This window comes from Homo sapiens, chromosome 3 (genome assembly GCF_000001405.40).
Source record: "Homo sapiens chromosome 3, GRCh38.p14 Primary Assembly".
In the NCBI taxonomy this organism is placed as follows: Eukaryota; Metazoa; Chordata; class Mammalia; order Primates; family Hominidae; genus Homo; species Homo sapiens.
Window position 1 is genome coordinate 39,926,947 of NC_000003.12, and position 25,225 is coordinate 39,952,171.

Sequence of the window (25,225 nt, forward strand, 5' to 3'; positions counted from 1 at the left end):
TTCCAATCTATGAACATGGAATGTTTTTTGATTTGTTTATGTCATCTGTAAATTCTTTCAGCAGGGTTGTGTAGTTCTCCTTGAGAGATCTTTCACCTCCTTGGTTGGAAATATTCCTAGGTGTGTGTTTGTGTGTGTCTATTGTAAATGGGATTGCTTTCTTGATTTGGATCCCAGCTTTAACATTATTGGTGCACAGAAATGTTACTGATTTTTGTGCGTTGATTTTGTATCCTGAAACTTTCCTGAACTTATTTATCAGGTCTAGGATCCTTTTGGCGGATATTTTAGGATTTTTTTAGGTATAGAATCATTGTCAGTGAAGAAATACAATTTGACTTTTTCTTTTCCTATGTGGATACCTTTTATTTGCTTCTCTTGCCTGATTGCTCTGGCTAGGGCTTCTAGTACCATGTTGAATAGGACTGATGAGAGAATGGGCATCCTTGCTTGTTCCTATTTTTAAGGGGAATGCGTCCAGCTTTTTTCTCTTCAGTTGATGTTGGACAAATTCCTGGAAATGTACAACCTCCCAAAATGGAATCAGGGAAGAAATTGAAACTCTGATCAGAGCAATATCAAGTTCCAAAATTGAATCAATCATAAAAAACCTACCAACCAAAAAAATCCCTGCACCAGATGGATTCACAGCCGAATTCTGCCAGACATACAGAGAAGAGCTGGTACCATACTGAAACTATTCCAAAAAACCAAGGAGAAGGAACTTCTCCCTAACTCATTCTGCAAAGTCAGCATCACCCTGATACCAAAACCTGGCAAAGACACAGCAAAAAAAGAAAACTACAGGCCAGTCTCCCTGATGCACATAGATGTGAAAATCCTCAACAGAATACTATTAAACCAGAAGCACATGAAATATTTAATTTACCACAATCAGGTAGGCTTTATTTGTGGAATGCACGGTTGATTCAACATACATAAATCAATAAATGTGATTCACCACATAAACAGAATTAAAAACAAAAACCATATGATCATCTCAATAGACGTAGAGAAAGCATTTGAAATCCAGCATCTCTTTATGAGAAACACCCTCAACAAACTAGGCATTGAAGACACATACCTAAAAATAATAAGAGCTATATACACATATAAATTTGACAACTTAGATGAACTTAGAGAATTTCAGTTTTTTGAAAGTATAAGTTACTATAACTCACTCAATATAAAATAGATTATTTCAGTAGCCTTATAACTATTAAAGAAATTGAAAAATTAGCCCCTGTCCCCAAAAATAAATCTCCAGATCCAGTGGCTTCACTGGAAAATTCTAACAAATGGGTAAAGAAGAATTAAAACCAATTTACATAATCTTGCAGAAAATATAGGAGGGACTACTTCTCAATTTATTCCATAAAACTAGTATTACCCTGATGCCAAAGAAACAAAGACAGTACAAAAAAAAAAGATAAAGGGAGAAAATTACAAATCAATATACCTCCTGCATATAGATGCAAAAATCTTGTACAAAATATTAACAAAATGTAGCAATATATAAAAAGAGTTATACACTATGAGCAAGTGAGGTTTATTTCAGAGATGCAAAGCTGGTTCAGTTTTAAAAAAACAATCAATGTAATTCATATTATTGAAAGAGTAATTAAGAAAAATTATGTGATCATATCAACCAATGCAGAAAAAGCATTTGACAAAATTCAACACACATTCCTGAAAAAAATTATCAAAAAAAAAAATAGGAATAGAGGTAACTTCCTCAACTTGACAAAAAGCATGTACAAAAAACCTACAGCTACCACTGTACTTATTGGTGGAGGACTGAATGCTTCCCCCTTAAAATCAGGAACATGTCAAGGATGTCTACTCTCTCCACTCTTAATCAGCTTGGTACTAGAAGTTCTAGATTATGCAATAGATGAGAAAAGGAAATAAAATGCATATAGTTTGGAAAGTGTGATGCATACTACTCTTATTTGCAGAAGTCATGATAGTCTACATGGAAAATCCCAAGGAATCACCAGAAAACTCCCAGAACTAAAAGCAAATTTAGTTTTAGATCCAAGATAAACCTACAAAAATTCATTGTGTGTGTGTTTGTGGTCTGTGTGTGTGTGTACACTAGAAACAAACATGGACACATATGGATACTGTGATAAATTGTATCAAATTAAAACATATGGACACATGGATACTGTGATAGATTGTATCAAATTAAAATATGATATTGTTTAGAGTCACTCAAAAACAAATGAAATATTTAGATGTCAATCTAGCAAAACAGATACCAGACTTATATGCTGAAATAAACTAAAGATCTAAATAAATGGAGAGACATACAGTGTTCATAGATTGGAAGACTCAACATATTAAAGATCTCAATTCTACCCAAATTGATATGTAAATATAATGCAATTCCTATCAAAATCCTAGCAAGAAATCTTAGATATCAACAAGATTATTCTAAAATTTATAGCGAGAAATAAAGGAATTAGATAGCTAAAACAATTTTGAAAAAGAATAAAGTGCGACCAATAGGTCTAGTATATTTCAAGACATTGTATAGCTACAGTAATCACAACTGTGGTATTGGCAGAGTGATGGATACATAAATCAATGGAACATAATAGAATGCAGAAATAGGCCCGTACAAATATTCCAAAATATATTTTTAATTGAACTATAATTTACATAGCACAAAAGTCACCCTTTTAAAGTGTAAAATTCAGTGGTTTTTAGTATATTCACAAGGTTGTTCAAATATTATCTCTGTCTAATTTTAGAAAAGTTTCATCGCTCCAAAAAGAAGCCCCATTCTCTCAACCTCTAGCAATCATTAATATACTTTTTTTTGCCCTATGGATTTGACTATTCTGGACACTTTATGTGTCCAGGTGGAATCATGCAATGTGTTGCCTTTTGTGTAGGGCTTTTTCAACTTGGCATGTTTTCGAGGTTCATCCATGTTAAGCGTGTATCAGTATTTCATCCACTTTTATGGATGAATAATATTTTCATTTTTTTGTTTACCCATTCATTAGTTGATGACCTGAGTTGTTTCCACTTTGTCTATTATAAATAATGCTATTATGAATATTCATTAACAAGCTTTTGTGCAGAAATATGTTTCACCTCTCTTGGGTATATACTGAAGAGTGGAATTGCTAGTTCATATGGTACTTCTGTTTAACCTTTTGAGAAATCGCCAAACTTTTCTAAAAAGGCTGTATCATTTTATATTCCCACCAGCAATGTATGAGGGTTCCAGTTTATTCACATACTCATCAATACTCATTATTTCCTGTCTTTTTGAGCACAGCCATCCTGGTGGGTATATCATTGTGGTTTTGATTTATATTTTCTTGATGGTTAATGATGTTGAGCGTCTTCCCACAGGCTTATTGGCCATTTGTGTATCTTTTTTAGAGAAATGTCTGTTCAGATCCTCTACTCATTTTTATTTGGGTTACTTGTCTTTTTATTACTAAGTTGTAAGCATTCTTTATGTATTATGAATACAGTTCACTTACTATATATATGATTTGTGAGTATTTTCTCCCATTCTCTGGATTGTGTTTTTACTTTATTAATAATATCCTTTGAAGCACAAAAATATTTAATTTTAATTTATCTATTTTTGTCTGGTTGCTTATGCTTATTTCTAAGAAACCATTGCCTATCCAAGGTTGTAAAGATTTACATCTATATTTTCCTCTAGGAATTTTATAAATTTATCTCTTAAATTGAGGTCTTTGGTCCATTTTGATTTAATTTTTGTATATGAAGTAAAATAGGATTCCAACTTCATTCTTTTGCATGTGGATGTCCAGTTGTCTCAGTACCATTTATTGAAAAGACTACTGTTCCTCATTTAATTGTCTTGGTATCCTTGTCTATAACCAATTCACTATAAATTTAATGGCTTATTTCTGGATTTCATTCCATTACATTGAGCTATGTTTATCCTAAGGCAGTACAAGAATGTTTTGGTTATTCTAACTTTGTAGTAAGTTTTGAAATTGTGATGTGGAGTCCTCTAGCTTAGTTTTTATTTTTTAAGATGATTTTGGCCATTCTTGCCTTTGTATTTCCATATGAATTTTAGGATAAGTTTATACATTTATGCAAAAATCGATAACAAAAGAACAAAAACAGCTGGAATTTTGATGGGGATTGTATCGAATCTGTAGATCAGTTTGGAGAGTACTGACATTTTATTATTGAATAATAAGTGATTTAATCCACAAACATGGGATATCTTTCCATTTATTTGCATCTTTAATTTATTTCAATGATGTTTGTAGTTTTCCATGTACAAATCTTGTAATTTTTTGTTAAATTTATACTCAGGTATTTTTTTTCTTTCAATAATATTGTAAATAGAATTTTTAAAGTTACCATTTTGGCTTGTTCATTGTTAGTATATATAAAGACAATTGTTTTTTATATTGATCTTTTACTTAAACCTTCCTGAATTTATTTATTAGTTCTGACAATTTTTTATGGACTCCTTAAGATTTTCAGTATACTAGATCATGTCATCTTTGCATAGAGATAATTTTACTTCTTTTCTTCTCTTAATTCCTTTTTTTCCTTCTTCTTACCTGTCCAGGATCTCCAGTACAATACTGAATAGAAGTGATGAGAGATCCTTGTATTGTTTTTTATCTTGGCAGGGGGGAAAGCATTCAGTCTTTATTCATGAACTATGATTTTAACTGTGATTTTTCATATATGCCTTCTATCAGGTTGAGAAAGTTCCTTTGTGGTCTTAGTTTGTGCTTTTATTTTGAAAGGGTGTTGGATTTTGTCAAATATTTTTTCTGCATCTATTGACATGACCATATGGTTTTTCTTCTTTAGTCCATTAATATAGCGTACAATTCAGATAGACTTTTAGATGTTATACCAATTTTGCATTCCTTGAATAAATCCTAATTGGTTATGGTATTTGATCATTTTTATATGTTGCTGTATTTGATTTTCTAATATTCTGTTGAGGATTTTTGCATCTATATTCGTAAGGAATATTGGTCTGTACTTTTCTTGTGATATCTTTATCTGGTTTTGGTATCAGGTTACTGCTGCCACATAGAATTAGTTGTAACTTATGTCCCTGAGTTGCATAGTCCTCTAATATTTACTAGGTTGTGTTCCATAGCCTTTATTCTGTTTATGGCCCCATGCTGGTCCTCATTAGCCCTCCACTGAAAGCCAGGCATTCCAGAAGAGTGTATCACAAGATAGGACTGTGGTTTCTAGCCCTGGAAGAACCATTCCAAAACTCTTGTCTTACCTGGTGATGGAAAGAGCAGTAGGATCCTGTATAAGGAGGCTTGCACTAATGTTTAAAGCGACATCATAGAAAAGAACAGGAGTTTGGAAGATGCCTCCAAAGTGGAAACTGCTCACTCTATCAGTCAGTCCTGCACCCACAAAATGAGTCTTTTTTTTTTGGAACGGAGTCTCACTCTGTTGCCCAGGCTGGAGTGCAGTGGTGCAATCTCAGCTCACTGCAAGCTCCTCCTCCCAGGTTCACGCCATTCTCCTGCCTCAGCCTCCCAAGTAGCTGGGACTACAGGTGTCCGCCACCATGCCCAGCTAAATTTTTCGGTTTTTTGGGGGTTTTTTTTGGTTTTTGTTTAGTAGAGTTGGGGTTTCACCATGTTAGCCAGGATGGTCTCGATCTCCTGACATCGTGATCTACCCGCCTTGGCCTCCCAACACAAGATGAGTCTTATCTCTCCCTTTCAATGTTCATTGACCTGGTCTGTGCTGGGCCAGAAGTGGTCAGAGAGATCCATCGTCAAGAATTTTGAGAGTTCATTGAGTCTTACCTGCACTCTTGTAGCCTAATAGCATTGAGGCTGCTTTCTACCTTTAGGGTATATGTCTTACACATTGGTAGTGCCTAGTGTCAGAGGCCAGGAGCCTCACTTCTCAGAGATGTGCTTAAACTTTCCTTGGAGCATTGGCACACCGTCTGAATTAGATATTTTAAAGTAATCATAATTTGCATTGAGTATTGTTAATTCTAATAATGAGTAGGCCAGAATTTAAATGAGGACAGAATACATAGCATTTCTAGGACTGCTCTAGAATAAGGGGTCCTCTGACAATCTAGATGAATTTAGATGCAGGAAAATGGGCAAAAGTCTCATGCATTATGATCTTTCTGATTTCTTATTTATTCACCCATCATTGCAAAGTTGGTAGCTAAGCATTAAGAACCTTTCGTGCAGGGTTTGACAAGATACATACTCATGGGCCAAATCTGGACTACCACCTGTTTTTGTAAATAAACTTTTATTGGAACACAGCCACTCCACTTGTTTATGTTTTATCTATGGCTGCTTCAGTGCTACAAAAGCAGAGTTGAGTAGTTATGATAGAGACTGGCCCAAAAAGCCAAAATATTTACTATCTGAAATTGTACAGAAAATGTTTGCCAACATCTGTTAGAATCACAAAATCACTCAAAATATTTCTTTGCTAAATCACATTTCAAAAGTTGCCCTGTAGGTTTATGCTTTCATACGTCCTTGTCACTGGAAAATCCCTCATCATATGGTTGTGTTCTGCATTTCACTGTCTAAAACTTTGAGGAGAAACTCTGAGAAGAAGCCACTCAATTCCAAATCTCATTCTGTAGCAAAAACTGTTAAGTAAAATTCCCATACATCTTTACTTTTATGAATTTTAAAACGACATCTCATAAACTTGACCTTCAAGAAATATATTCAAGGTTTCAGGCAATAAAATATCAAACTTTGCAAAATATTATTTAACTTGTTTTAAGATTAGGGAAAGGGATAAGATATACTATTTTGAGAACGACTGTGTACCAGGCATTGTGCTAGAGACTACATTCATTTATTGTTGTTCTCCTTTTATATCTTTTATATTTTTTATAGATAAAGAAACTGAGGTTCAAGATTGAACGACTTGCTCAAAGTTACACCACTAGGTCTGTCTGGTTCTCAAAAGTAGGCTTCTTTTATTACCTCAGTGGTTCTTAAAGGAAGGCTCCTAGAAAACAACATTAGCACTGCCTGGGAACTTGTTAGAAATGTAAATTCTCATGCTTTAGACCTGTTGAATCAGAAACTCTGGAGGTGGCATTCAGCAATGTGTGCTTGAGTGAGGCCTGCATAAATGTCTGAGAACACCTGGATTATACTATCCTATCATGCACTGGATAATGTTGTGGTATGACAGTACTTAGTTCCTTTGTCTTCTCTGGGGAATTTTGGATGCAGTTCAACCAACAAAACTTGATGCTGTGCCCATGTACTGATTCCTTCCTGTGCCTAAAAGTACAGGCTGTGGTATTTCAGTACATCAGCTTTGTCTGCAAGCCTGGAGCTAAGGAGGGCAGAAGAAGCAGATGTGATAGGCTTTGTTTTTCATGTCTACTCTCAGGACCTTTTTCTTTAGTGAGGACCCAAGATCACACTTGAGATATGGGCTTCAGAAAGCAAGATGAACAAATGCCATCCCCAGGTGGCAGAGACGAGTCTGGGACCCAGGCTGGGAGCTGGAGGAGAGCCCAAACCAGCATGCTATGCAAGCAGAATCATGGCAGAACAGGCAAGAGCAACCAGCTCAGGAAAGGAGAAGAACAAGGTCCAAAGGGAACAAATAAGGGTTACCTTCCTTCTTTAGTTTTGCATGCTTTAATATGCTGGGCTTCAGGATCTGATGAGAAGCTTTAAGATGTGCACAATCTGGCTTTGGAGTCCAGCTGGGGAAGAAACAGACAGCAGCAGTGACTGACTTATTCTTTCTAAAAGTTAATGTTTTTGTAGATGAGAAACGTTATCAGTATACAGCGAGGCATCCTGACAGGAATTGAGGGTGACAGGAAATGTTAGAATAATCTGTTGTTCAGGTGTGTTTGAAGGCTTTGTCTCTTAGACTGTGGACAGATATAATTTGAAGGCAGATGGGCAGTGGCTAGAACAGATGGAAAATACCTCCCCTCTAGTCCCACACTGTGTTTCCCTCTCGCTGATACTATGTCTTCCTCCCACGACCTGGTGACAGCTTGTTTCATTCTGTTGCCTTACATGTCAGTGACAGCTTCCCTGTCTTCACTGGAGTTGCTTTCTCAGGAATTAACTCATGTAAGAGTCCTGGGGCTGATCTGCCCCTGGCATTCAGCTTTCTCGCTGGAAACCACATACCTTGAGTTCAGGTGATGCTTTTTGTGCCTGGGTGTAAACACGGACTGCACTATTGGTTTAAGATTCTTTACATGTGCTTCTACAGGGTTCAGGGACGGGGCAGATAAAGATAGAGTGAAGGCTGTGGGACTGGAAAGTCTCAAGTGTGGGTGTGTTCAGGTGGGGAGGGTGACTGTCAGTTTTGAAGGTATGGAAACACTGGAGCACAAGGCAGGCAGGGGTTCTGTAAATATGACAGTTGGTGCTCAGGGAACAATAGAATTGAAGAGTCAAGTATATTCATGAACTGGGTGGGTTATCAAAATACAGATCACCAATTACAAGGTCAGGAACCCTATAGCTTCGAGGAGAAGTGGATTAGGAAGTCAGGGCCATTGTTCTGCAGGAAGCAACAGGAAAGCTAGAGGTCTGGCATTCCACTGAGGACCTTGGCTCATGTTTCCATATGGGAATTTCTTCTCATCATTACTTTGGAAATTTGCATACTTCCCCAAATCCTAAATCCCAAGAAAAATCAGTAGAAACATCATGAAAATAAGGAAAAGTATTATAATTCTTCTGTGAGCAATATGCTTTACAGTCAATGCAGAGATGTTACTGGTTTAAAGGAATTCACTGATGTCAAGGACAAGCAGGAACAGGAAATGCTGATGTATGGAGTTGAAGGTGAAGGTCAACATTTCTAGCAATCAGGACAGGAGCACTTGGGAGAGAAATGGCCACTATTGCCATGTTGTAAGTATGTGTTTCTAGCCTCCTTTGCTGCTAACATGAGTCATTTGTGCAAAAATCTACAAATATAGGCATGATATACTTTATACAAATCTTATGAATGACGTTTTGAAATATTAAAAAATTTCAGAAACAAAATAAGTCCTTAATTTGGCAATTTCAACACCTACATCTGTGTAATACTGTTAACCTTCCTAGGAGAGTCAAATATTATGTTATTCAAATTCTATTGAATAACGTTCATCCCCATTTTCCTGTTTGGATATTCATTATAGGCTGAAGTTCTTTATAAATACTACTAAACCAGTATTTCTTTTTGTTAAAGACATTTTTAGGTATCTGCAATAATGAGTGAAGAGTATACAGAGTGTTGGAAGTGTTTAAGAAATTTATGACTTTGGGATTTCCCAGGATTCTCAGGAATTCTAATTTCTTTCTGAATCCTCAAGATTAATATTTGTGGAGAATCTGGAAACACTAGCCTTGGCTCTAGTCCCTTCAACAGAGGAGTCAGAACCATTGTGGCTAGTGCAGCCTCCACAGGGGAGTGATGGGGGATTTATGGGGCTGGAGGAAACAGGAATGGGAGAAGGGACCACGAAGGCCAACTCCATGGCTCAGATGTGCACTCACAACTTGAGAGCCCCAGTATCTCCAAGCAGCAAACAAGACATGGTAGGGTGGACTTCCAGTTCTGGAATAATGATGCCTCTCTGAGAACATTCGCCTTGGCCTGTGCTGAGTTGCACAGCCACATGAGCTGCAGTGAGACTCAGGGAGACACTGTCACAGAAAGAATCAGAAGGCAGAGCATGCAAATACAGCATGCAGAAATATGCTTGCACCGTAATACACAAAGACTCCCCGACGTGGAGCTTGCAGTTCTGGGTTGCTTCAGCCTGGCAGATTCCTCCCAGGGCTCTAATTACTCTCTTGAGGACTTGTGACTTATATTTAACTTTAAAATGTATACGTGTGTATCTCTGTTGCACTGAAGCCAAGTTGTCATTCTCCAGGTCCCTAAATCTGTCCTCATCTGTCTTTGTGGTCTGGCTTAGTTTAGTGTTTTATGGAACTTGGTTTAACTTAGTCTTCACATTAGTTGTTATCCCCAATAACAGTTAATTATTTCCATTGAAACAAAGGTTCCATGAGGTAGGTCACTGATCCAAAGTCACCCAGCTTGGCAGTGACAGAGCAGGCGTCCATGCCCAGATCTGCCTACCCACCCCCATACACTTGGTCATCTTGCTCCAACCCAGGTTAAATCATTTAGTGCTTTCAGTCCAGGTCTCTTGCTGGAAGGGCCTTCAAGTGACTATGGATGGCCCATCCCCTGCCTTCCTATAGGCAGGATGTTATAATCTCCCTACTAGGGATGACCTGTCTGAGACATTAACATTGTGCATGTGCCTCACACAAGGTCAAATAGTAAAATGTGAAAGAGAAAGTAGAGTCATGAGGTTTTTTTCTGTCAAACCATGTTGTTCTTATTTTTGGCTTTTAACTTTCACCATGAAGAATGGATAGTTTAGCTGAAGGGATCAACAAATTTTGGACCAGGACATTCTGAAGAGCATCTCAGGCTGGGGAAAGCCTCTGGACATGGGTGCAGACACAGTCCTGCTGTTTACTCTGACCAGTTTCTGTGATGTGGCCACCTGGTCCTTGTATATTTGAGGCCTGTCATCCATCAGAGGAACTGGAATTTGCCCAATAACATACAATGTGGCCTTTGTTTGGGCTTGGCCTTCATTTATTGGCCCAAATAAGAAGGGAGCTTATGAAAGGGACTCAAAGAAGAGCTACAAAGTGACCAGAGGCCCAAAAGATATGATTTAATAAGAAAAATAGAAACACTAATGACAGGTTAACTGCTAAATTATGGCTACTGCTGACTTTAACTTTCATAACAATAGTGAATTTTGTTTAGTGACACTAAGAGCTTTTAGTATCCTTGAATTCTAACCAGGGAAGAATGAACACTCCACTGATATATACTATGTATGATAGGTATATGCTTTTGTGGAGGAAAAAGGACAATTTAGAACTATAGTGAATTAAATTATAGGTAGAATTATAAAGAGAGAGAAAGTAAAATTCAAATGAAAAGGAGGAGGAGAGAGAAGTAGGGATGAGAGTCCAGAGAAGCAGCTTTCAACCAGCTTTGGCTAAACTGTGGTCTCCTAGGAGAAAGCAGGAAGCTTGGCATCTCCCATGAAACTGAAACTGAACATGCCTGTGTAACCAGCACACAGATCAAGAAGTGTGAACTGTCTGAGTTTCATAAGCCACCCTGTGCTGCCTTTTAATCACTATTCACCAAGGATAATGCCAGCCTTGAATTCTAGTGACATAAATTAATTTGCCTATTTTTGAACTTTATATAAATGGTATCATTTATATTTATATAAATATATCCTCTTTCGAGTCTGGTTTCCTTTGTTCAGTCATGTTCAAAAGAGTCACCTGCATGTTGCATGTTGTACAGATTATTCTCTTTCCTCTATAGTATTCAATGTATTGATCTATTCTACTGTCTGTGGGCATTTGGGTAGTTTCTAGTTTGGGTCTCTTATAGATACTTCTGCTGTGAGCATTCTATATTCTTATGACCCTATGGCTGCATTTCTGCTATGTATATACCCAAAGATGGGATTGCTAGGTCATAGAGAATGCATGTATTAGGGCAGATATTGCCAAATAGTTTTCCTAAGCAGTTGTACCAGTTTACACTCCCACCAGTAACATATGAGGGTTCTGATTATTCCATATGCTCATGAAAATTTGGTATTATCTGTTTTAATTTTATCTTCCTACTTTTAAAAATATTTTAGAACTTTTTTGTAGAGACGAGGTCTCACTATGTTGCCCAGGCTGGTGTCAAATCCTAGCCTCAAGAGATCCTCCTGCCTCAAACTCCCAGAGTGCTGGAATTATAGGCATGCACCACCAAGCCCGGCCCTTCTATTTTCACTTTAGCCATTCTGATGGTGCTAATATAACAGATGAGAAAGCTAAGGCGTGGAGAGGTGCCTAACATTCTACATCTCACAAGTGGCAAAGCAGGAGTTTGAGCCCTCTTGGCCTGGCACCAGGGCAATGCTCTTCCCACCTTGTTATCCTCCCTTCCTCATAGAAGATGCTTCATTTCCTGAGTGATGACCCACACCGTCCAGCCCTGGCCAGTCCTCTGTCCACCAGAGTGATAGTGCAGTCAGCCTCTGTGGGTCCTTGTGTTGAGCCAACTTTAGAATGTCATTTCCGGACCTTGGAAAACCATAGGCTGCCCCCAAATCTCACTTTGGCTTCAAATTAAAACTTGCCAATCCCATTAATGAATTTCCTAATGAGCCACAAACTCAGCTCACTTTTGGTTTATCTCCTTGTCTTCTGTGGCCAACCTCTAAGGAATTTTGACATGAAACAGCTCAAGAAAGAGCAGCCAGTTCAAAGCAGAGCTTTCAGCAGGAAAACAGCCAGAGAGGGCAACACTCTAGAGTGATCTGGCTCTTTCTGTAGCTCTTGAAAAGGATACACATGAAGACTATGTAGCTACATGGAAAAAAAGTCCATGCAGTTAAAAAAATAAAGCAGGACATAAAATATCATGATCACTGAAATTACATCTAGTGAAACACACACGTGCTTATCTGCACGTGTGTGTAAGTTAGAAAGAAAAAACAAAGGCCTAACAGTGATTGTCTTAGGTTGATAGGATAGTGGGTGGGATTTGCAGAATTTTTGTATCTGCAGAATTTTTGCAAAGTGCCCATTAGTTTTGTAAAGAAAAAAACCTAAATGTATAACTTCTAAAGAGATAATTTTTTCTTTCATGTTTTTGCTACCTATATCTAGGAAAATAACTTAGAATTGTAATTATTTTGAAGCTCTGGAATTATTATGTTCAAAAATTACAGAACCAAAATGTAAAGATTTAATGGCAGGATAATCTGATGAAGTGAGTAACAGAAGCCAATGTTCCAGTGAGGAAATGATTCTGAATCAATAAAATAGAATCTGTTCCAGAAGTAGAATTTAGGAGAGTATAATTTCTGGGTGTGTGTAATATGTATACATCAATGAGTATGTATGTATGCATGCATGTGTATGTGTAGATATACACATGTTATTTATCTGTTTATCCTAATTCTTATTAGACACCTGTTTTTAAGATGAATGAGGTGCTAAAGAACTGCAAAGTAATATATGCTTAATGTTTGTATAATAGTAGATACTACTCAATAAAATATATGTTAAGGTACATATTTTTATATATGTGTGTGTTTTAACACACTTGAATCATACATACATAAATCTGCATGGAAATACACACAATGATATCATTAGCTATTTTTTTGTGCATGCATTTTGAATCATTTTCCTTTATACTCTATTGTATTTGGAGAATTTTTAATGATGAATATACGTTTGTGTTTAAATGAAAAATATCAGATGGTGCCAGGTAATGTCTGAAATTTTAGGGCCCCCTGTAAGGTGAGTAAAGATACTGGAAAGGAAAAGGAAGTGTTGTAGAAAGATAGTGCTATTTTCTATTTTCCAAAGGGACATTGGATTATATTATTCAAACCTCAATTCTTTTTGCTCTTAAGTAGCTAGTGTAGTGGAAGAATTTTGAATGTTGTACTAGATCTTTGGCTAATAATGAGAGTATGTTCTTAGCTCTGTTCTCTTTTCAATGGTATGTTTTATTTTCTGTAAAATTTATGGATTTAATAGCTTCTATTTCTTCACTTATCTTAATGGAGAAAAATTATTTTATTTTTTAATGGTACATGATTTCTTATTGCTCAAATATTTCACTGTACTTGGATGGATGGTGAGACATTATTCATTATTTGCACTTAATATTTATTAAAGCAAACAATAGACTAAAAATGCATATGAAAGCAAATAAGCATAATTTTGTTTATTGAAATTAATTTCTTTAAAAATGCTTTCTGGTTATAAATTTATGACAATATAGAAAACTAGGAAAAGGACATAGAAGTTTAAAGAAAATAAAAATTATATCTAATTTCACACCTTAGAAATAACCACTGTAAAACATTGGTAAGTTGTCTTCTTACATATTCAGCATTTTATTACCAGTTACTACTTTTAATGGATATTTATTGAGCCCCATGGTATGCATTGCTGTACTTTGGAAAAAAGTGAATGAAAAAGGTAAATAAAATCCTGCCCCACATCATTTACTGTCTGGCTGGGGTCACTATATGTGTATGTGAGGGAGTGTACAAGAGGAAGGGGAGACAATTGAAGGTAAAATAGAAGTACCTGGTGGGTAATTTAAAAAGAAAAGAGGCTTATTTGGCTCATGGTTCTTCAGGCTGTACAAGCATCTGCTCAGCTTCTGGTAACACCTCAGGAAGCTTTTACTCGTGAGTGAGTGAGAGAGGGAGATGTCAGGCTCTTTTAGGCACCAGCTCTTGTATGAACTAATAGAGTAAAAATTCACTCATTACTGTGGGGAGGGCACTAAGCCATTCATGAAAGAGCCACCTCCATGACCCTAACACCTCCTACTGGGCCCCACCTCCAACATTGGGAATCACATTTCAACATGAGATTTGGAGAGGACAAACATCCAAACTATATCGGGAGGAAATACAGTCTTTTAAAAATGTATGTGTGTGTGTGTGTGTGTGTATATATATACACACACACACTTTTTTTTACAGTAGACTGACTTTTTTAAGCAAATTGGCATTCTATATATTCTATACAGTTTTTCCTCACTTAACATTATATTAAACAGTATCCTGTATCATTAGATATGACAGCATTAGATTATATTATAAAGTCATGTCATAGCATACATTACATCACATCACATTATACCATATCATATAAATACATTTCAGTCTATTATTCCTTGATTGCTGGATATTCGGGTTATGATTTTTTATAACATAAATAATGCTACAGTGAACATCCTCATATATTATAAAATTTTATCTTCTCCAATTGGTTTTTCTTAAAATTTATTTCTAAAAGTAGAATTACTAGCTTACATGTGAAAAATAAAACTTTTCCAGGCTACTGAGACACACCACCAAGTTGGATTTTACAGTCATGTTGGTTACCCATTCAATGTTTGCTCACTGGAGAAACATATCATGTTTGATCCTTTTGAAACTTGCTTTGACAAAATGTCATGGACAACATCCAAGAACATGCCCTGTGTTGAGTTCTTTATGGCAAGTGCTGTTTGGCAAGGGCTCTTTAGTTACTGTAAATTAAGCAAATAGAGCTGAGTTTTATGTACACCATAACAATGTTAGCAACTCTGTGGGCTTAGTACCTCTCCGTGCGTTCAGAGTTGGAAATGTGTGTTCAGTGCAGGTCAGAATAACAGAACAGGGCCACGTCACTGCAGTTTCCTTTGATCCCATTGTATGTACGGCGTGGAAGGCAGAAAAGACCAATAACCATCTAAGAAGCAGTAAACTCTTGGGACTTTGTGCCAAAATAAAAATGTTGTATGAACCTTGCTGCAACCAGTATTTTATATATCTCCTAGGAAAGCATTGATCCTTTAGGTCTGACAGGTCTGGTTTTTGGATTTTATAGAAATAGGAATTAGCAAATTCTCCTTCTATTTTAGGTATGTTAATCAACAAAGACACCTAGGTTTTTTCCTTTTCTCAAACTTTATTTTTTATTGATACATAATAGATGTGTATATTTTGGGCGTACAGGTGATATTTTGAAACATTCATATAATGTGTAATGATCAAATCAGGGTAATTGGGATTTCTATCTCCTTAAACATTTATCTTTTATTTATGCTGGAAACATTCAAATTATTTTCTTCTCACTATTTTGAAATGTGTAATAGATTATTGTTAACTATAGTCACCCTATTGATCTATAGAAGACTAGATCTGTCTTTTTCTGTCTACCTGTATATTTGTACCCATTAATCAACCTCTCTTCATCTCTCCCTCTACTATCTCCTTCCCAGCTCTGGTAATTACCAATCTATTCTCTATCTTTATGAAATTCGCTTTTTAAACTCCCACATATGATATGAGTGAGTGCATGCAACATTTATTTTCCTGTGTGTGGCTTATTTCACTTAACATAATGACCTCCACTTTTAAAAAATTAAATGAGATAGTTGTTTTCTCTGGAGCGGCTTCCAGTTGTGGATGTGGTGGTGATAAAGTGATCACATGAGCACACTTTTAGTTCTGATGACCTTGACTCTTGTGTTCTCTAGACTCATCTGAGGCACCCATGACTGAGACTGGGTTCAAGAATGTGAAGTGATCTTAATGATCTACAAATTTTCTCTTTCTGATTTGGAAGAGCTGCATGCAGTGCATTAAACTTTTGAACCTAAGTGCTTTGATGGCTAACCATAACTTATGACAACACTCTCTTTTCTGTATTTTAAACCCTATTTACTATTATTTAGTTCTATTTAATATTATTAAAGTTTTATGATGACTCCATCCAATGAGGAAAAACAAATGGAAAACAACTTGCTGTTGTTCCATGTCCTTACTCTGATGCAGTGGTCCTGATTTTAGAGCAGGTTCTTAGGATTAAAGTGGAAGTGAACATCCCTGTGCTTTGGGAGAGGATTCTGAGCTGATGATAGCTGACCCAGGGTGGGCTTGGGATATCATGACTCCATATGCTGTGGTGCCTCTGCCCTGTGCTTGAGTTTTGATTGCTTTCCTGTCTGTTTTCCATAAGTTATCCAGTAGAAGAACACTGTCCTATGAGATCAGTACATCCCCCTCTTAATTAAATTTTCTGGTGCTTAGTCATCAAAAGCCCTATTTAATATTTAGGCACTGTGAAAAAGACCTGGAAGGGATTTCTTTTATTAGCAATAAGATACAGACCCTTGGAGCCCTATTAAATCAATTCTCGTTAGATGTGGATTCATAGGGCCAAGAGTTCACTAGCTTTCCGCTGCTATTATGTTGCAGTTTGTATTTAAGCGGACTTTGTAGAGACACTCAAACTTAATGGATTATGGACCCTGATCGATTCAATATGTCCTAAATTTGTGAAGCTTTATAGTGGTAGGGTGTGTTTTGCAGTAGTCATGTGGTCTGGGAAAGAGAGAGAAGCCAAGATAGTTTGGGGCATAAAACAGGGCCCATTTGACTCTTCACACTCTCATTCCACACAGGTCCACAAAACCAATCAAAAAAGAAAATCAGGATAGGAATTTGAAAGTACCATGTGGTAAACTTTGGAACTATTAAAAAATCATACTATTGTAGGCTCATACATTACTGAGTGGATGTTTAAACCATTATTCCTTCTATGGAAAGCAAAGTAGCTATAACTCAAAATTACAAGTGTTTGTAGCCTATAACCTTGCAATTTCATCCCCAGGAATTATCCTACAGATGTACTTCACAGATTTGAAATGGTATATATTTGAGGTTATAATTGTAACATTGTTTAAAATATACACCAATACAATATTAGGAAAACATACTATGGTATATCCAGATAATGGAATGCCATGTTGTTATTAAAAAAAGAATAAGGAAGTACTCTATACTGATACACAAATATCTCAAAGATATGGTAAGTGAAAATCAAGATTAAAGACAGTTTTGTCTGTTTTTGTAGGAAAAAAGAGGAAGAGCGGGAGAAAGGGAGAGAGGGGAGGAGAAAGAGATATTCTGTATATGCACAAAATACCTCTAGAAGCATATATGCAAAGCACAGAGCTTTGATATGGGGAAGGGAATTGGGTAGCTAGAGGACAGAATTTAAGAGGAAAACTTTTTATTGTAAAACTTTTAATACTTTTCTAAATTTTGAACTATGTCATTGTAAAATCTAGCCAAAACATTTGCAAATGGAAGCTAAGAAACACATGCTTGTGTGATATTGTTAGATGAATACTGTGAGTTCATCAAAAGTTTTTTTCTTAGACTTTAAAATAACACAACTGTATATACAATCGCAAGAAGTATTGTTTATGAGTTTCTACTTCTACTTCTAAGTAGGGTACCAAGAGAAATATTCATTTTTACATTTTCTGTCTATCACTATATGACTCTGAAACTATAAATATATATACATAGACTTCATTAAAATATTACTAGAATTTAATCCTTCTGCTTTTATGGGATAGTATGTTGATAAAATATTGATTTTTCTATTAGTTTCCTAAGATCTTGACTGGGAGATCTGGAAAGAAAGTCAGAGATGACTTGGTTGAGCCCTGTTTCACCCAAGAGGAAAGACAGCCAAGGGAAATTAAGCCACATGCTTAAGGTTCACAGATAGTCAGGTGTGCCCAGCGGGTTTTATGTTTTATTTGGTTACCTTAAGAATATATCTTTGGCTGGGCACAGCGGGTCATGCCTGTAATCCCAGCACTTTGGGAGGCTGAGGTGGGCAGATCACTTGAGCCCAGGAGTTCAAGACTAGCCTGGCCAACATGGTGAAATACCATCTCTACTACAAAAAAAAAAAAAAAAAAAAAAAAAAGCTGTGCATGATGGTGTATGCCTGTAATCCCATCAGGAGTCTAAGACAGGTGAATCACTTGAACCTGGGAGGCAGAGGTTGCAGTGAGCTAAGATCATACCACTGCACTCCAGCCTGGGTGACAGAGCAAGACTCCATCTCAAAAAAAAAAAAAAAGAAAAAAGAAAAAAAAAGAATGTATCTTTGACACAAGAGATCACAATTGAATTTAACTTCACCCCAAATGCCTCTTAATAATAGGAATGTTATCAAGCCAGAAGCAGTTGGGAAAGTGCCTTCCAGTCTGTAACCCAAAAGAATTCTCAGATCTTCAAGAACTTAAAGTTACTTATATTTAGTCAATTAAAAAGTTAATCAAAAGAGAGATCGCAGGTTAAAGGAAAATGACATTAAAATAAGTGGTAAGTAATGAAAGCTTTAAGATTTGTGTTAATTTTTAAAAATGTTAAATACTTGTTCTTATGATTGTACAACTTAATATGATGTCAAAAGTAGTTCTTAAAAGAAATTATAAAAAGTACTAATATTCTGAGTATAAAGGCTATGATTCTTTATTTGGTAGGGGAGAAGAGGAAAAGGGAAAATTCTGTAGGCATATCTTTAGCTACTGTTTTATTCTCTATGGTGATTGAGAAAATAGGATTAAGTGGTTTAAAAATATGCAGGTAATGGCCAAAAAAAAAGTTGAGACTACATATTACTTCTGAATAACCAAAAAAATAGAACAAAGATCTAAGAAAGCTTTGATCCCTAGAATGTCAAGGGAGTGGCAATAAAACACAAAATAAAATGACACAGAAAGATCAAATACTGCATATTGTCCCAGTAAATATGAATTTGTTCAGCTTCTTAAAAAATAAAAAGCCCTCAAATTTAATAGAAAAGCAAAGTCAACGTGATTACCAGAGACTCACCTACATAAAGTGACATAGAAAAGATAAAAATAAAGAAATGAACATTGTGGTGGGCAGAATGTTACAATGGGCCTGAGGTTCTACCCTATCCAACCCTCTAACCTGGTGTATGCATCTTACATAATTCTCCTGGGATTATGTAGTGTGATATGAAGCAGTAGACTTTAAGAAAGGAAAATTATCCAGATGGGCCTGACCTAATCAGACAAGCCCTTTAAGAACAGAGTTTTCTCTGACTGCTAGGAACGAAAGGTCAGAGAGAGAGAAGTGTGAGAGGTTATTAACTGGGGGTTCTCCAGTGCTGAGACGGAGGAGCCACATGTCCAGGACCTCAGAATAGTCCCCAGCCAACAGCTGGAAGACAGCAGAGACCTCAGTCCTACTACTGTAAGGAAATGTGCTCTGACAACAACCTGATGAAGCTTGGAAGCAGATCTTTCCCTAGTTGGGCCTCCCACATGAGGACACAGCTAAGCAACACCTTCCTTTCAGCCTTATGAGAGCCTGAGCAGACGATCCAGATAAAATGTGCCGAGCTTATGACCCATGGAAACTGAGGGATAGTCAATTCAGTGGCAAATTGGTGTTGTCACTGAGTTTGTGGTGATTTGTTACATCACAAGAGAAAACTAATACAAATATATCACCCACTAGAAGATTCTAAACAAGAAGGTTGGAGTGGTGCTATTAATGCCAAAAAAAGTTGGAATTCGCTAAAGGCGAAAAGCATTAAATGGGACAAAGTAGGATTTTAATTTAAAAAGGAATAACTTATAAGTATATAAAAGTAAACAATATTATATGGTTAAGATAGCCTTAGATTCAGCTTTTAATATAACAGTTTTAATACTAAGAGAAATAGGCAAATGCTTAGCTGGAGATAATAGAACATTTGCAACAGTGCAACAGGTCAAACAGACAAAAAGCAAGTAAAGTTGTGATATTTTAGGATGAGATTAAGCATAGCAATCATTAAACTAGGGATTTAAATGTTGGGAAATGAAAAGAGTAATAAAAGAAAACTTGGGGTAATAAAAGAAAGAAATTAAGAAAAGTACAAGCAGAAATTAACAATTTAAAGAAAAAGAGTAGAATTAGCAAATTAAAATTCAGCTGGCTTGTTTCCTGAAAAAAATGAATAAAATACAAAAAAGGAATACAAATGAATAAAGTATTAAAAAACCTCCCAATAAGACTGTTCAAAGAGAGAAAGAGAAATGAACAATTTTAGAACATTGAGGAGATATAAGCACTGGTACAAAGAAGATTAACATTTACAAGAGAAAGCTAGTCTAAATTCTTGGTACTCAAATTGTGGTCTACAGACTAGCAGCCATGGTTTCACCTGGGAGCTTGTTAGAAATACAGACTCACTGGGTGTGGTGGTGCACGCCTATAGTCCCAGCTACTCAGGAGGCTGAGGTGGGAGCATCACTTGAACCTGGTAATTTGAGGCTACACTGAGCTATGATTGCACCACTGCACTCCAGCCTGGCCTGGGCAACAGAGAGAGACCCTGTCTCAGAAATGAAAACGAAAATAAAAATAAACACTCTCAGACACTACCCTAGACGTACTGAATCAGAATCTGCATTTTAGCAAGATCGCCAGGTGATTCACGTTTACTTCAATTTCTCTAAATCAGTGATTGTCAACTTTGGCTCCACACAGTAATCACTTTCAGAGCTACAAGAAAATGCTCTCAAAGATTGTTATTTCACTGGCCTGGACAGCAAGACTTTTGAAGACTATCAAGATGACACTAATGTAAAGCCAGAGTTGACAATCACTGCTCTAAATTATTCTATGCAAATTTTAAAATCTCAATGTAATGGATGACTTTTCAAAAAATATAAATTTTCTGGGGAGAGGGGTAATTAAGTTAAAATGTGATACATCATCTGAATAAACCACCAGTCAGAACAACCTAAAAATGTGTCATATAGCCTCTCAAAAGACAATGGAGTCCTCTGGCTCCAGTGCACATTCTTTCTGGAAGGAACATACCCTCATCCTGGGACTCAAAAAATTTTTAAAGAGAAAGTTTTTATCATGAGCAGTTTATATTTTAAAATTACTAATCAAGGAAACAAATCAATGTAAGTAAAAGCCAGAGGCAGTAGAACCAGGACTGTAAAATATATAGCCACTAGAATCAACAGCTACAGAGTAATAAGAAAATACTTGCTGAGTTAAAGAAGTCAGGCAAATATGAAAATATGAATAAAGAACAAGCAAATTTAAAAACAAAGAACTCATTAAAGTAAGTAATAATTTAAATAAAACTTAACACACATATTACATAGCAGATTAAACATTGGTGAAGATTAAACACTGTAAGATGAATTTTTAAAAATCTAGAATTAAGAAGTAAGAAACAGATGATAATATGAAAGAGAGGTTAAGAGTCAAAGAGAGGATTGAGTGAGAGAGGCTAGCCAGAGTTCTAGAAGAAAAAAAAGAGAAAGAATAGATTAGAGCAATATTTGAAGAGATATTGGTTGAGAATTTCCAACAGTTGATGAAAGGCTCTGATCAAGATTTTCATGAAGCCCAGAAATTCCTAAGGAGGATAATAAAAATAAATCTACATATAGACTACTCTTAGTGAAGCTGTGGAACACCGAAGACAAACAGAAGATCTCAAAAGCAGCTAGAGAAAAAAGATTTGCTTCTAAGGAATAACAACCAGACAGATACTTGATTGTCAGCAACAGAGCAATAATACCTTACATGTGCTGACAGGTATTTTAGTGTAAAATTTGTAGGCTTTAGTGATGGATTGGGTATGAGATCATGAAGGAAGCATGTCAAGAATATCTGTCAAGTTCTGGAATACAAAAGATGCCTTCATTGAAATGCAAAAATACTGAAAGAGATCCAGGCTTGAGGGAGAAGCTTATGAATTTGCTTTTGGACAAGTTGAATTTGAGGTGCTTTTCAGACATCCAAAAGAAGAAGAGGTTCCTTTTCCATGCCATCATCTATCTCACAGTTTCTAGCTTGTCTAAAAGCATATTACAAGAAACTTGGTCAAATGTCTTGCTGAAATGGACTCAGTACTCTGTAACAATCCCTTGTCCTGTTAGAAATGAAGTTTAGTGTAAATTGATTTTGAGTTGTAACTCAGCCACTTACTGTGTAACTTTAAACATAATACACTCAATGTTGAATCACCTCAATTTTTTCATCTGTATCATGGTAATAAAATTATATATTAATCACTTATTGAGGTATCATGAGGACTAAAAAAAGTCTGAGAAACATTTGCTGCATAAAATGCCACACAAATCATTATCTGTCAGTGATTTCTAACTTCTCAGAATCTTTTTCCCTCCAAGTGCTCATTCATCACCTGTTTCATAAACTGTCTTTCCAAAATATTATTGGCATTGATTTTAAGCAGAATCCACCTCCTTTTCACTTTTGAAATGTGGAATGACATTGATCTGACTTTGAGCTCTTAAGGCCTATCTTCAGATGGTTTGCTATCATATTTGCAAGTTATTTCTGGGCCCTGGATATGATTTGGCTCAACTGGCAACTTGAAGTCAGTACAAAGCACCTGTGTGCTCTTTTGTTTTAATTTTATCTATCTCCTGTCTTGGGTTCCAGTTTCTTATTTTAACTGGAAAATAGTCTCTTCCTTAGAAAAGGTGGAAGATAAAAGATGTTGAAGAGGTCTGATTTTTCTACTAGCATCTGTTATCTAGCATTATACCATCTGCCCCAAGCAATTTTGTTGTTCCTTATTTATATTACCCTGGAACATAATTTCAGACAGCATTTAGTTTGAATGTCTTATATAATTATGACCTTTTCTATATATGTTCTTAATAGATCTCTGCCATTTAATTTTTATGTTCTTTTGTCTTTAGGGTATGTTTTTCAAAAATATGAATTCTTCCATCTTTAGTTTGTGCTTTTTACACATATAACCTCATTAGAGCACAGTACTTTGCACATGATAGGCATTCCATGTTTGTATGTTTATATGAATGAATGCAAAGATGAATGAAATAGAATTTTCCATGTAACCATATTTGTGGGTTCCTTTTCCCTTTTATCAAGGCCATTCACAATTACATTATCATTTGCTTTCCTTTATACATTCTATTCCTTTTGAAGTTGTATTCCATCATGAATTTGACCTTTTGATAATGCATACATTTTTTCATATGTTTTAGAAACATATGCTTTCCTGAAATCCTTTGCTGCATCTGATTATGCCCAGCTTTTCATTCCTTCAGTTTTATGAATTCTGAGATGATTGCTTTCTCTAAAGGTTTCTGTCACTTCAGTGTCAAAGTGACTTTTTTATTTTTGGTGTCTGACCTCAGCTGGGACAGCTAGGATGACTGGGTCTCTCTTTCCATTTGTTCTTTTATCCTGAGCTTCTTCACAGCGTGATGGCCTCCGGATTCCAAGAAGAACATGAGTAGAAGCTGCTGTTGAGGTCAAGGCTCAGGGTTAGGCTGATAGACTCCAGCTTGATAACGGATGCTACAAAGAGCTGGTGGCCACATTTAATCTATATTATATGCTATTTGTCATTCATTTTCACTTACTTTTTAAATAGTTGTTGATTGTACTGGGCTACATGATCTAGAAACCTAAAATAAGTGAGAGCAGTGGAATCATCAAAATCTTGGCATTCTTTTATTTTCTGTTATACCTTTTTGTATTCAGGTTTAGTGCTCTTTGCAGAAATCCTCCTTCTGGCAGTCATTTGTCACAGAGAAACTGGTTATTAGTGATAAACTCAGTTAATATATTTTGGAAACTCTGACTGAGAAACAGTGGCCATATGGGTCCCTTCTCTTCAGGAGACAGAACAACAAGAAGTTTTGTCACAGATAAGCTAATTACATCTGCCAGTGGTTTAGATAACTGGTCTAAATTTGTTTTACTCACTAATTTTCAAACTTTGATGTGATGTCAGTGTATTAAAATAAAACTCAAACCCCCCTGGCTTTAGCTCCATGGATGATCTAGAACAGGGATCCCTAATCCTGGCTGGACACTGAAACCACCTAGAGAGCTTTTAACAAACTACACTGTCCCAAGATTGTCATGTAGTTGGGTGGGTGAAGGGGAAGGAGATTGGTGGAATTCAGTTGGGAGTATTTTTTTCAAGCTTCCAAGTAAATCTAAAGTGCATTCAGAATAGAGAAGCGCTACTTTAAACAGGGGTTTGAACATTTTTTCTGTAAAGGGCCAGATAGTAAATACCATAGACATTGCAGATCATAAGCTCTCTGTTGGAAGTACTCAACTTTGTAGTACAAAAGCAGCCATAGGTCTTAGGTTAAACTAATGAGCATGGCTATCTTTCAATAAACTTTGTGAACATTAAATTTGAGTTTTATATATGTAATTTTCACATTATGAAATATTATTCTTTTGTTTTTTTTCCAACCATTAAAATATGTAAAAACCATTCCCAGCTAATGGACCATACAAAAACAGGTGAGGGGCCTGATTTGGCCCACAGGTCATAGTTTGCTGACCCCTATTCTAGAGGACTCTGACAAAAGTTCTCTACTTTGACTAAAATGCTTCTCTCATAGACAGGGAAGAGGTTTTCATCATCTTTATAAAACTGTCACTTTTCAGTTGCTATGATGTTTTTCTTTTTAAACGCGCTTTATGATGGTATAATGTACATGCCATAGATTTAACCTATTTTAACTGTACAATTTAATGATTTCTAGTAAATTTATAGAGTTATGCAATCATCACCACAATCAGATTTAGAATATTTTCACTATCCTCAAAAGTTCCCTTTGGACCATTTGCATTCAGCCTCTTCCCACCCTGGCCCCAAGTATCCACTACTCTACTTATTTTCTCTGTAGATTTGCCTTATCTGGAAATTTCATATGTATAGGATATAATACATCATCTTTTGCACATGGCTTC

The 25,225-nt window shown here is 36.1% G+C and overlaps 1 protein-coding gene across 6 annotated transcripts in view, besides 1 other annotated feature; it reads left to right on the plus strand.

Moving 5' to 3' along the window:
• The window catches only part of MYRIP (myosin VIIA and Rab interacting protein), a 451,408-nt gene that overhangs the window by 118,033 nt on the left and 308,150 nt on the right, over positions 1 to 25,225 (plus strand). The gene's annotated exons all lie outside the window — the stretch shown is intronic.
• Positions 10,472 to 10,766: an enhancer, noted in NCBI's record as "tiled region #3241; HepG2 Activating DNase matched - State 9:DNaseU". NCBI's record gives its function as "activates a minimal TATA promoter and a strong SV40 promoter by Sharpr-MPRA in HepG2 cells {active_cell/tissue: HepG2}" and the evidence as "EXISTENCE:reporter gene assay evidence [ECO:0000049][PMID:27701403]".